At 41.6% G+C, this 12,653-nt stretch overlaps 1 long non-coding RNA gene across 1 annotated transcript, besides 1 other annotated feature; it reads left to right on the plus strand.

Annotated features, from left to right (window-relative positions):
• Positions 1 to 1,916: 1,916 nt before the first annotated feature.
• On the plus strand, positions 1,917 to 6,565 carry LOC105376045 (uncharacterized). Its single transcript, XR_929611.3, has 3 exons — positions 1,917 to 2,125; positions 2,215 to 2,431; positions 2,542 to 6,565. It is a non-coding gene; the product is annotated as an uncharacterized LOC105376045 (long non-coding RNA).
• Positions 9,063 to 9,607: an enhancer, noted in NCBI's record as "NANOG hESC enhancer chr9:39328452-39328996 (GRCh37/hg19 assembly coordinates)". NCBI's record gives its function as "activates a minimal SCP1, AML or CMV promoter by ChIP-STARR-seq in primed H9 embryonic stem cells {active_cell/tissue: H9 hESC(primed)}" and the evidence as "EXISTENCE:reporter gene assay evidence [ECO:0000049][PMID:30033119]".

Genomic DNA, 12,653 nt, shown 5'->3' on the forward strand with positions numbered 1-12,653 from the left:
TGCTTTTGATTTTACAGGCTCATAGGTGGAAGGGACTTGACTCAGATGAAACTCTGGACTTGGACATTTGGGTTAATGTTGTAATGAGCTAAGACTCTGGGGAACTGTTGGAAAGGTATGATTGTGTTTTGAAATGTGAGGACATGAGACTTGGAGGGGGGCCAGGGACAGAATGATATGATTTGGCTCTGTGTCCCCACCCAAATCGCATCTTGAATTGCAGTTCCCATAATCCCCAAGTGTAAAGGGTAGGATCAGGTGAACATAATTGAATCATGGGGTAGTTGCCCCCATGCTGTTCTCATGATGGTGGGTGAGTTCTCATGAGATCTGATCATTTTATAAGGGGCTTCCCCTTTGCTCAAAACTCATTATTTCTGCTGCCACCATGTGAAGAGGTGCCTTCTGCCATGATTGTAAGTTTCCTGAGGCTTCCCTAGCCATGTGGAACTGTGAATCAATTAAACCTCTTTTCTTTATAATTACCCAGTCTTGGATATTTCTTCATAGCAGCATGAGAATGGACTAATACAAGATGTGAGTGCATTTCCAGTTAATAAATAGGTAATATTTTCTGTGTTTTCTGCTATGGTAATGAATTGCATTACAACTTCACTAAAGAGAGAAATCACTCACAATTTGAGACCTAAACCAAGAGCTGAAGAAAGTGCAAAGAGGCCTACAATAATTCCTATAAGTTATTTCCAATGGAAGGCCTCTGTGTATGTAGTACTGTAATAGAAAAACCTATGGAATAAAAAGAATGCATTCTCTGAGTAATGTTATGCAGTTTAATTAACCCTTCTCTGTATATTTTTGGCAGCTGTCATCTGTATTATAGGGATAATACAATTAATGGTACTGTCATGATTACATAAGTGAGATGAGTGAGGCATTTTTTTTGTTTTTTGTTTGTTTGTTTGTTTGTTTTGAGACAGAGTCTTGCTCTGTCGCCAGGTTGGAGTGCTGTGGCGCAATCTTGGCTCACTGCAACCTGCAACTCCCTGGTTCATGCGATTCTGCTGACTCAGCCTTCTGAGGAGGCCATTGTGTGTGTGTGCTGAGGGGTTCCCTTATTGGGCAAAATGTACAGGGTAGCAAGGGATTTTTGGCAGCAAAGGATTGTGATTGGGTGGGGAGGAGTAGTAATATTTCATGAGAAGTAAGTTGAGAAGCAAACAAGTGCTGTGTGTTTTCATTAAGCAATAGGGTCGACACAGCATGGGAACATACACATCAAGTGGGCGGCCTAACACTAAATCAGAAGTAGCCTGGATGAGTTGGAAGTCATGGCCACTGTTTGTAGGCCAGGAGGATATGCTTTAGCACTGGCTGGTTTTGTGGGAAAACAGAGAGAAAGACATGGCTGAGTCTCAGGGTGCTCAGAGAAGGCCACAGCCTTGGGGTGCCGTGGTGACCACAAACACTTCCCCCATCCCATACCAATCTTTAAGAGCCTTTTCCTCCTTAAAGGCCTGTCACTTAGCAAAGAGCTTTCAATGAACCCTCCCCTCTGGGCCACTTGTTGGATTGCAGCCAATCAGTGATGGAGGGCTGGACACAACTGTGGGATGCTGTGATTTGGTTTGGCTCCTGGGTCTAGAGTGCTCTGGGGTCCACTGTACTTCTGGGATAAAACGCCAAGGCCATGACTCTCTTGCTAATTTACAAACAAAAGATTGAGGGCTAGCTAAACAAGGACAGAGAGGAAGCAGCTTTCTGTAAGACACACCCACCAGTGTGCCCTGTCAGTTTACCATTGCCATGGCAACACTCAGGCATTACCACCCCTTTCAGCAACAATGACCTGATGACCCAAAAATTACCACCCTTTTCCTAACAATTTCTGCACAAACCACCCCTGAATCTGCATGTAATTAAAAGTAGGTATACATATGACTGCAAAACTGGGCTCAGCCACTACTCTCGGCACCCTGCCTATGGGGCAACCCTGGGAGCAGTCACTGAGCTGTGACCCCACAGGAGCTGCAACAGTGTTGCTTTGATAAAGGTGTTTTCTTCCACCTTACCACTGGCTCGCCCTTGAATCCTTTCCTGGGTGAAGCCAAGAACCCTTGCAGGCTAAGCCCCACTTTGGGGTTTGCCTGCCCTGCATCAGCATCAGGTTTGTTTTTTAAACTTGTAAAATAGTTTTTGTGATTCTGTCATGTATTTTGCAGTCATGAACTAACATATTTTTTCCTCAATTGTCAGTTGCAGTTTCCTCAAAGATCATTATAAATACTCCTTAACCTACAAAGTTTGGCAGTCACAGCCTGCTCTTCGAGGAACAGCCTGACTCACCATCAAGTGGCTCCTCAGGTGGTTTTACTTCCCATGTTTCCCATGTGAGGTACTATGCCTCAGTGATTCCTGGCAAAACTAGGATTCTCTGTTAGTATTGTGCTAACTTTGGAGTGAGTTTCTTTTGGTGAGTAATAATTTTAGTCAATGATACTACTGATTATTTTATCTTTTTTTAGGCTTATGATGAATGCTTGATTTATGATTAATACGTTTTTCACTTTTACACATTTCAAGGAAGGAAACAAGAACAGACAGAAACACAACATACTTCATGAAACCACATTTTAACATCCTGGCCGAGTATTCATCACTCAGCAAGATAGAGAGACATAAACTATTTCCAGCAAGAATACTTCATAAATGATGAATAGAAGAAAAATAGAAGTCCTAAAAATCTTGCAGAACTGTCTTAATTTACTAATATATTTACACTGTATCCTAAGTCACTCTCTAGCTTCTTGCTCTAAGCATATGAAATGTAAGAGCTAATGGGAACCCCAGTGCCTGTATAAATAACAAGAACCAGCATGTCTTTATTTATGGCAGGGAACACTCTACAACCTGGGACAAATGCCACTCTGCTTCAGTTTGGGGAAGCTCCTCACTTTACCATCCTGACGTTGAATAAATGATTCAAAGGCAACTACAGATGCAACCTGAGCCACTGGATGGGCTTTTGTAAATAAAGTTATCTCACCTGGCATTCATTACAGAGAAAACAAGAAATAAGGCACTACATGTCATATTTGTCTAGATCCTATACCTATTTAGGTTCACATTAAAATGAAGAGAAAACAACATAGGCTGAGAATCAGAAAACCTGAACTCTGTCCCAGCTCAGCCACTGGCCACAGGGAATTAACCAATCTCTTTGAACGTCAGTTTCTTCATTAAGCATCGTAGAGAATGTCAAAACCAACTTTATAAATACTGTCATTCCAAAACCACACAATTCAAATATAAATAATCTTTATAAGGTAAAACAAAAATGTACATAATACTTTACATAAACATTTTTAGAATAAGTTTATTATAACTCGATAAGCAAAATAATCCAAACCTTTATACATTTCTACAAGGATAGTCACGTATGTCAATTTTTCGGTTTCCTCTCGTGCCTATTTTGTCTCCTGAGCCGGCCCCTTTCCAGCTGACACGTGTGCTCCGTGTTCTCCCACAATAGCCTGACCTGGCCTGAGTCCACGCCCCTGTGAGCCTCCTTTCTTTGCTTACAACAGCAGCCTGCCTGATGTCAGTTATGGACTATTCTTTCTTTCAGCCTCATTTCAGGGTCCTCTGCCTCTTAGAGCTGCTGCTGTAGCTTAGCTAGAGACCCGCTGCTGTTGCATCATGGAAAAGTGCCACATACGTGCACATGTGAAAGAATACGCAGACCTTCATGTTGGGTTTTAGTTTTAGAAAAAGTCAGAAGTAGCTTCACTTGATTTCAGCTTGTAAAGACATAGGAGGGAGGCAACTGAGAATCACCGTTGCAAAAAGCAAACATCAAAAATCACATTAAAATGCTGAAGTGTTGTGGAGCACAAACCTAGCTTTATTGGATCAAGCATTCGTGAGAGTTCTTCTACTTGCTTTGTTATGCTTTCTATCAGACAGGGCTCATTCTCTGTCTTTTTTTTTAACATATTCATTTTTTCCTTTGGTCTGTTTAGATTATTATCACATCTTATGTTTTAAAACTAGCAAAATATTATGTGTAAGTCATGAACACAGTGTAAGAAATAATAAAATGAACACTGATGTACACATTACCTGCTTAAGAATCAAAAACTACCCATATTTTTAGAGTCCTTAACACTGTCCTGTTAATTAGTCCCATTTCTTGCCTTTATAATTTTGCCAAAATAAATGCATTAGTAAAGGACATTGAACATTATTGTTTTACATGTTTTTCAGTTTAAACAAATGGGATCACACTGAATATATTTTTCTGAAATTGCTTTTTGGTTCAATATTAAATTTGTAAGATTCATTCTTATGATATGTTTATCTGTACTTTCTGTGCATTGATTTAGAGTATTCCATCACAGGATAATACTATAATGAGCATTCCATTTTATTAGATTGGGGTTATTATCCATTTTTTTCTGTTACAAAAAGTAGATGTCCTTTTCTTGTATGAGTCTCCTGGACATAAGAGTTAGATTTTCTCTAAGGTATAAACCCAACATTCAAATCATTGTGTCAAAAGATTTGTACACTAAGTTAAAATGAACTGTTTTCCGATTTATGCTCCCATGAGAAGTTAAAGGTTCTGATAGATCTATATTCTCAACAATACCTAATAGTATCACAGTTTGTTTTTTTTTTTTTTTTTTGAGACAGAGTCTCGCTCTGTCACCCAGGCTGGAGTACAGTGGCGTGATCTCGGCTCACTGCAAGCTCCGCCTTCTGGTTTCACACCATTCTCCTGCCTCAGCCTCCTAAGTAGCTGGGACCACAGGTGCCTACCACCACGCCCGGCTAATTTTTTGTATTTTTGTTAGAGACGGGGTTTCACCGTGTTAGCCAGGTTGGTCTCGATCTCCTGACTTTGTGATCTGCCTGCCTTAGCCTCCCATAATGCTGGGATTACAGGCATGAGCCACCGTGCCTGGCCAGTATCACACTTTTTAACATTAGTTAACTTGGTTTGTCATTGGAATTTTAATCTGCATTTTTTAGAAGTACTGAATCAAGAAAAAAATCAAGTAATGAAAAAAATGTTATTTTAGTAAATAAAAATGCTATAAAGACAATAAAGCAAGTGAACGTAGTCAAAAGCGGAGAGGGGCTACTTCATTTTGATAGTCAAAGATGGCCTTGCTGGTCATCTGAGTTGAGAGGTGGCTGGCAAGATGAGAAGAGATGTTAAGTAGCTGTGGAAGGGGCCTGCTGGCACAGGGCATGCTCTAAGGCCCTGAAAAGAGGCAAACATTCTTTCCCTCTAAATACCTGAACTAAGTAAAAACAGTCCTGGCTTTGCACATTTGAATATGCACAGGTTTAATTAACATAGTTTAGTTAAATAGCACTAGTCTCCCAAAAACGTGGTTACAATTTCAGTTACCACAATATGCTAACTGTGAGCAACTGCATAAAATCCAAACTTCGTTCCCAGCTCTTAATTCCACAAATGCCTATGTGAGTAAATAACAGGCAAGCATCATGATTAGGGACTGTATTAATCTTGTGGGGATGCTGCAACAAAGTATGAAAAGCCGGGTTGCTTAAAACAACAGAAATGTATTGACTCGTAGTTGTGGAGGCTAGAAGTCAGAAATCAATGTGTTGGCAGGTTCATGCTCTCTGCTGGCTCTAGGGGAGAATCCTTCTTCCCCTCTCCTTCCTGTTTGGGTTTGCCAGCCATCCTTGTTGTTGTCTGATCTATAGATATATCACTCTGTTTTCTCTATGTGTCTTCACATCGTCTTTTTTTGTGTGTGTGTCTGGAGCTGTATCCAAATTCTCCTTTATTATAAGACACCAGTTAGTCTATTGGATTAGGACCCACCCTAATGACCTCATTTTAACTTGAGAACCTCTGTAAATGTGCTATTTCCAAATAAGATCATATTATTTTGAGATATTGGGGATTAGGATTTCAAATATATCTTTTTAGGGGGACACAATTCACTTCCTTCAAAGCCTGTCAGTGACTGCTCACTGTGCATCTGCTAGTTTGCACACAGACAGCAAAGTCTGCAATCGTGTTGACTCCTTGTCTCCCAGTGAGAAACCCATGTGACATTTATAAATATGAATAATCAGAAGAAAAAACTGGTCAACAACCATTGATGTGCAGCAAAGAAATAAAAAATGTGATAACCCTGGAAGTGTATTCAAATACAATGTAAATGGAATCATAGAATTGGCTCACCACAGGAAATGCAGCAAGAGGAACTCGGCGCAACGCAGTGTTCTGACATAAATGAGGAACGCAGCTGTGATGAAAAGGATGAAGAAGCCCCAGAGGAAGTGATGCCGGCAAAGACAGCAACAAACTTCATATTAAAGGAACTCTTGTAGATATTGCATGACAATGTTGACAATGTTAGATGCTGTTCCGAAAACAGCACGACAGTTCACCAAGGCATAGAAACACTGCTGGCTCCTTATCATAAGCTATACGACAAGAGGGAGGCAAGCACTGTTCAAACTGGGCTTGATATACGTCTATAAATAAATAAAGCACTTTAATTGGCTGTTGTTTAATGTTTTAAATTACAGTGTAAAAATGAAGTACTCCCAACCAGGCACGGTGGCTCACTCCTGTAATCCCAGCACTTTGGGAGGCTGAGGCGGATAATGAGGTCAGGAGATCAAGATCATCCTGGCTAACACAGTGAAACCCTGTCTGTACTAAAAATAGAAAAAATCAGCCTGGTGTGGTGGCATGCCACAACTACTTGGGAGGCTGAGGCAGAAGAATCGCTTGAACCCAAGAAGTGGAGCTTGCAGTGAGCCGAGATCGTGCCACTGCACTCCAGTCTGGGCGACAGAGCGAGACTCCATCTCAAAAAAAAAAAAAAAAAAAGTACTAATTTCACTATGTTTCATTTCTTTATACATTTATAACCAACAGTAAGAGATTTTTAATGTTTTGGCCAAAATTTTTAAATGACACAGAACAGTCGATGTTTCACATGGATTGTTTAGGTCACTTTACAGATCTTTAGCTTACATAGTGATTTGTATGGCCCTGCACTGCTGTGCAAAGAGAGGACTGTCTGTGTTCTTAACCAGTAAGAAGGAGGGCAAGACAGAGGTTCTCAGCCAGATATTGCATACGTAATAAAATGATGGGAGAGGGAATAGCACTTTAGATATGAAATGTACCGTGTGGGGAAGCTATTTGAACAACAACAACAAAATAGCTTAATTTAACCCGATGGAGTACACTCAGCCACCTTCTAGATGTCCCTGCTTATTCTTCAAATCTTCTCTTTTGTGGCCCCAAAGAATGATTCACTCTCTGGAGTGAAAAATAACCGTTGCTTTCTTTGCCTGGAACTTTAAACTGACTTGTGCTGTATCATCCAAACCTGTTCAATTCTCTCTTTTCTATTACTCAGTGAGGTCCAAAGGAGCCAAAGACAAATCTCTCCTGTTTTTCTTCGAAATGTAAAGATGTTGCATCTGTAACCACAGGCTGCTTTTAATCCTAAAAGTCAGCGTGATAATGAAATCCAGTGATTAATTTCTGTCTTCTAATCAATAAGTAGACATATCAATTTATAGTATGTTAGAAAGCCTCAACTCCACTGAAACAAAAAGCAAGAGGCTCTGCAAATGTTGGAGTGTGCTAAAGGAAAAGCATGGACTGATGTTTGGGGAAAGGTTGGTCAATGTGATGAGGCCATCTGTGTTTGCTAATAGTGCTTATCAAAGTTAGGTTCCTACGCAGAGACAGAGACCAGGAGACAATCCTGTATCCTTCTTGATCCTTATAGTCCAAAGGGATAGCTCCTAAGTCTTTGAGAAAGACATTCTGTGTTATAGGAGATTTAAAGGGACAGAGAAAAGGTTTATAACTACAGGTTTTCTGTTTTTTTGTGTTTTTTTTTTTTTCTAGACGGAATCTCACTCTGTCACCAAGCTAGAGTGTAGTGGGGCGATCTCGGCTCACTGCAACCTCCGCTTCCCAAGTTCAAGTGATTCTCCTGCCTCAGCCTCCCAAGTAGCTGGGACTACATGTGTGTGCCACCACGCCCAACTAATTTTTGTATTTTTAGTAGAGACGGGTTTTCACCATGTTGGCCAGGATGGTCTTGCTCTCTTGACCTCAAGATCCACCCTCCTCAGCCTCCGAAAGTGATGGGATTTGAGCCACCACGCCTGGCCATAATTGCAAGTTTTCTAAAGTTAAAGCTCTTAGAAATGGGAGGTCAGGGGCCTATAGTCAAGTTTTGGGTGGGACAAACAGTAAATTCTTTTGGCAGAATTGAATGTTCCCAGGCAGGTGCTTTAGAGGGGTATGGGGCATCGTAGGGACGTGGCTCTGAGCTGATAGAGGCTGTGTTGGAATTTGGCCAAGTCCCTTACTGTATGTATGAGGAGGAGGGATGTGCAGAAGAAGTTGTTTGTGCCAAGAATTTGCGGTTTTCACAGGTTAAGACAGCGGTGCCTGGGATCATCTGCAAGGCATGAGTCAAATGTTGACACAATGATTGTTTGCAGACTCATCTGAGGGCTTAGGCAGATCTGGACCTGTTGATACTGAAGTTTCTGAAGGTAGAGGAAGAAAATATAATGTCTCAATAATATCTGAAGTAGGGGTAGGAAAACAGAGATTTAAGGAGGTGAGATCCCTTCAGGCCTCAGAAAGAAGCTTCACTTCTTGTGCCTCCCTTCAGAATAAATGGGTCATTAAATTAGTTCTTTGTAACTAACCTAGGCATGATGGTGAAGAAGGGAATAGTGAGAGGAAGAACTTTAAATAAATATGCCTGAGAGATCATACTAGATTAATGGGAGAGAAAGAAATTTCCAAGAAGCTGTCATGGGAAAGGGCTCACGAATAATAATTTAAAAATTAGTTATTGATAATATGAATAAATCAATAAAAATAAATAAAAAGAGATCTGCCAATAGCCACACTTACAGCACCAGATAGATTTTAAATAAATTAAAATTTGAGTTTTTAATGAATTTTCTACAATCCAAAATTTATTTGTTTAATTTTTGCAACGAAACACCATTTCTTTACTTTTTGCAAAAGTAAAAGTAAGATGCTACTTGTACTTTTTAAATAAAACTAATTTTAAAGAAAAACATAATTAGCCAGATGTGGTGGCAGGCACCTGTAATCCCAGCTACTGGGGAGGCTGAGGCAGGAGAATTGTGGAGGTTGCAGTGAGCCCAGAAGGCCCCACTGCATCCAGCCTGGGTGACAGAGCGAGACAGTCTCAAGCTTCTTCAGTACTCACATGTAAACTTCTACTTTCCCCTTCAGATTACAGCAACCATCATGCCAAAGCTATACACTCTCAGGGAATCCCTGTGGATTTCACTGATGACCACTTGACCAACTATCATAAAGATCAAGGCCAGGGGTTCTCAAACTCTCAACATTTGTGTGCTCATCTCCCCTTCACCCAGAGACTCCCCAGGGCTGCTGGGCCACACTTTGTTTTGTTTGACTGGAACATAGTTTGAAAGGGATGGAAATTTCCAAAAGGTGTTAATAGACACATAAAGATTTTTAAATATTAAAAAAAAGAAAAAGAAAGAAAGAAGGAAATGGGCATTTGTGAACTTTGGTCATGAGAACGCAGGCCTCGCAGTACTTAACTACTCCTTCCAAACCCCTGTCCAAAGAGAGGACCAAACTCTAGTGAGGCTTCCAGCAGCACAAGGATGTCCCACGGATGACCCCAGCCCTCCTTAAAATGACTGCCTGAGAAAGCTCACTTGCAAGGAGAATTTACTGTTTGTTTCAGGCAAAACCTGGTGATGGGCAGGTAGAGCCCTGAATCCCCTCTTAGAACCTTAGAAAGCTTGCAATTATAAATCTTTTCTCTGCCTTTGAAGTGTAAATCTACATCCCAGAATTGTCTCCCCAAAGACCTGAGAGCTGTCTCTTTGAAATGCAAACATTCAGGAAGCTAACTCTTGCTCTTGTTGCCAGTTCCTGAGGGAGGGGAAAGGCCTAGCTTTGGCGAGCACCTTGCTCCAGCTTGCACCTCTGACTCTTTTATTGCCATGAAAATCAACATGTAGACTTTTTTCAAACCCAATGACAGCCCATTACAATGGAGGCCATAGCGATGGAGGTCTCTACATGCAAAAAAAATGGTGGGACAGTTTCCTGACAACAGTCCAACTTTATTCCAAGGATAAGCATGTCATGAAATTATTGGATGGCAGATTATGCTTGAGTTATCTATGGTCTTCCTTTTTCTCCCTGGTCTCATCCCAATAGCTTACAGATCCTTTAAAGGCAAAGGCCAAATATTCAGCTAAGTTAGGCATACTTCAGATGCCAATATCAATTTTAGCTATATGGGAGATCCCACTTAAGATATTGAGGACGATCATGTGTGTACAGGGCAAAAAGTATGGGACAAAGAGATAAGAAGGGGATGGGAAATCACACCCTCCCTCCGCACCACAGACCATGACCTGGGGCAGGTCCTGTAACACCAAGCCCACCCAGGCCCCATCTAACAGTATGCCGCACTCTACATGACCTCAGAGTTCTTTCGGAATTCCAGCTGAAAAGCTGAAAAGAAATACTATATAGTTGTGGTTTCCAGCTGGCCCATGTTAGTATGTATAGCTTTTCTTCCTTGCCATGAAAGCACTATGGGAGAACGAAGCCCGATGCTGAGCATGCTTTGCCAGGTGGGTGCTGCTGAATCACAGACCTCAGCGACTGTGTTCCACCTCCACAGAGGCCGGGAATGTTTGTTTCCCCAGTGTGTTCATATATTTCAGCCAGTGTCTTGCACTTTGCCCTCTCAGTTTGCTTCACTTTCTGGCTCAGTGAAGCTGACCTGCAAGTCTCCCTGCAGTTTCCCTCAACAAGTGCTCACTGGGCAGCCCCAACATGTGAGAAACGGCTGTAGGGTGCACAGAGGTGAACTAAATTACTAAAAACTATTACTTTACTAAAATGTTTCCTGGATTCCAAAACTCACCAACTGGGAGAAAGGTCAGACACACACGGAGACAACTCATCTACACAAATGATCATCAGTGATTTAAAGAAGGTGCAGGAGATCATAGAATAAGAACAAGAAGAGATTACTTTCCAGGGCTCTCAGAAAGTTTCTGAAACGAAGTGCCATTGACCCTGACCTTAGCATTGTGATGGAGACATTACAGAGCTGGTAGGAAGGAGAAGAAGAAGGAACGGCTGGAACACACTTGGGGTGAAATGAGCAGCATTTCAGTGTGGGAGCTGCAGACTCGGTTTTGGTGGAAGAGTTAGGAGCCAGGATCTTGTCAGGAATAATTCTGTGTCCAAGTGCAGAATCGTGGTTTGCTCCATTACTGCCAGTAACTCCATTTCTCAATCATGATGGTGATGCTTTTTTTTGGCTCTCAATCCTGGAGATTGGCCGTACTGAAGTCACATTACAACAATTAACTTTTCAACTATTAGATGATTAATTTTTACCAAGTAGCAAGAACAGCTGTTTGGCACATAGCAGTGTGGCATGAGTATCTTGTAAATGAATTAAACAAAATATCTCTCCAGCACACACACAGTCATTCTTGCTGCATGTCAGCCTCCACTTCTCCCTCCATTATTTGATGCCGTGAAGCTGAGGCAGCCAGCTTGAGCGAAAGTTTTCAGATCTCACTCCAACAAAGAGCTTTGATTGATTCACTTAGTATAAGGTGTTTTATCTAGCTAAAGAAATCCAAGCTGAGTTTTATTAATTACTAAGAAAAATATCTGTGCAATAGATTAATCTTTGATCAAAACTATGTGTGAAGTAGAAACATATTACACATATGGAGAGCAATATTATGGAATAAAAACAACCTATGTGTGGCATAATTGACATTGTCTTTATATTTTTGGGGGGGCTGAAGACGCAGTCTCACTCTGTCGCCAGGCTGGAGTGCAGTGACACGATCTTGGCTCACTGCAATCTCCGCCTCCTGGGTTCAAGCTATTCTCCTGCCTCAGCCTCCTGAGTAGCTGGGATTACAGGTGCATGCTGCCACACCCAGCTAATTTTTGTATTTTTAGTAGAGACAGAGTTTCACCATGTTGTCCAGGATGGCCTCGATCTCCTGACCTCATGATCCTCTCGCCTCAGCCTCCCAAACTGCTGAGATTACAGGCATGAACCACCTTGCCTCGCCTATAAATAATTTTTGAAACAGATACAGAATATATAGATAGCTTAACAATTATAAAATTGTATTTATCAAGTATGTCACGAGGTAAACATTTTATGCTATGCAAAAGGGAGCAAACCTCCGAATTTGTCATGCAGGGTCACTAGTGGAACTCACAGCAACAGGTCTGATAAAGCAGAGGAGGGAACCAGGCTTCCGTGTGCTTTAGAGAGAGTGAAACATGAGGAGTCATAGGCAGAGAAAACTGTTTTTCAGAAAGAAAAGAAAGGGGACATGACAGCCCAGCAGTAGGGTGAAGAGGGCCTCTCCGTGGGTGCCACTGGCTTGAGCTGCTGTAAGTGGCTGTGCCTGGAACAGAGGATCTGGATAGGAGAATGGGGAAGGGAGTGCTGGAACCGGGGGTGGGCAGGAGCAGCAGTCTGGAGACCAGAATGACCTAGGGTTTCCTCTCATGCTCCCATTCCCAGTGTTTCACGTGTGTAAAGTAGCAAGCATGCATATACTGCTTAGAGGCATCTACACTTACA

The sequence above is a fragment of the Homo sapiens genome, chromosome 9, assembly GCF_000001405.40.
Source record: "Homo sapiens chromosome 9, GRCh38.p14 Primary Assembly".
NCBI lineage: Eukaryota > Metazoa > Chordata > Mammalia > Primates > Hominidae > Homo > Homo sapiens.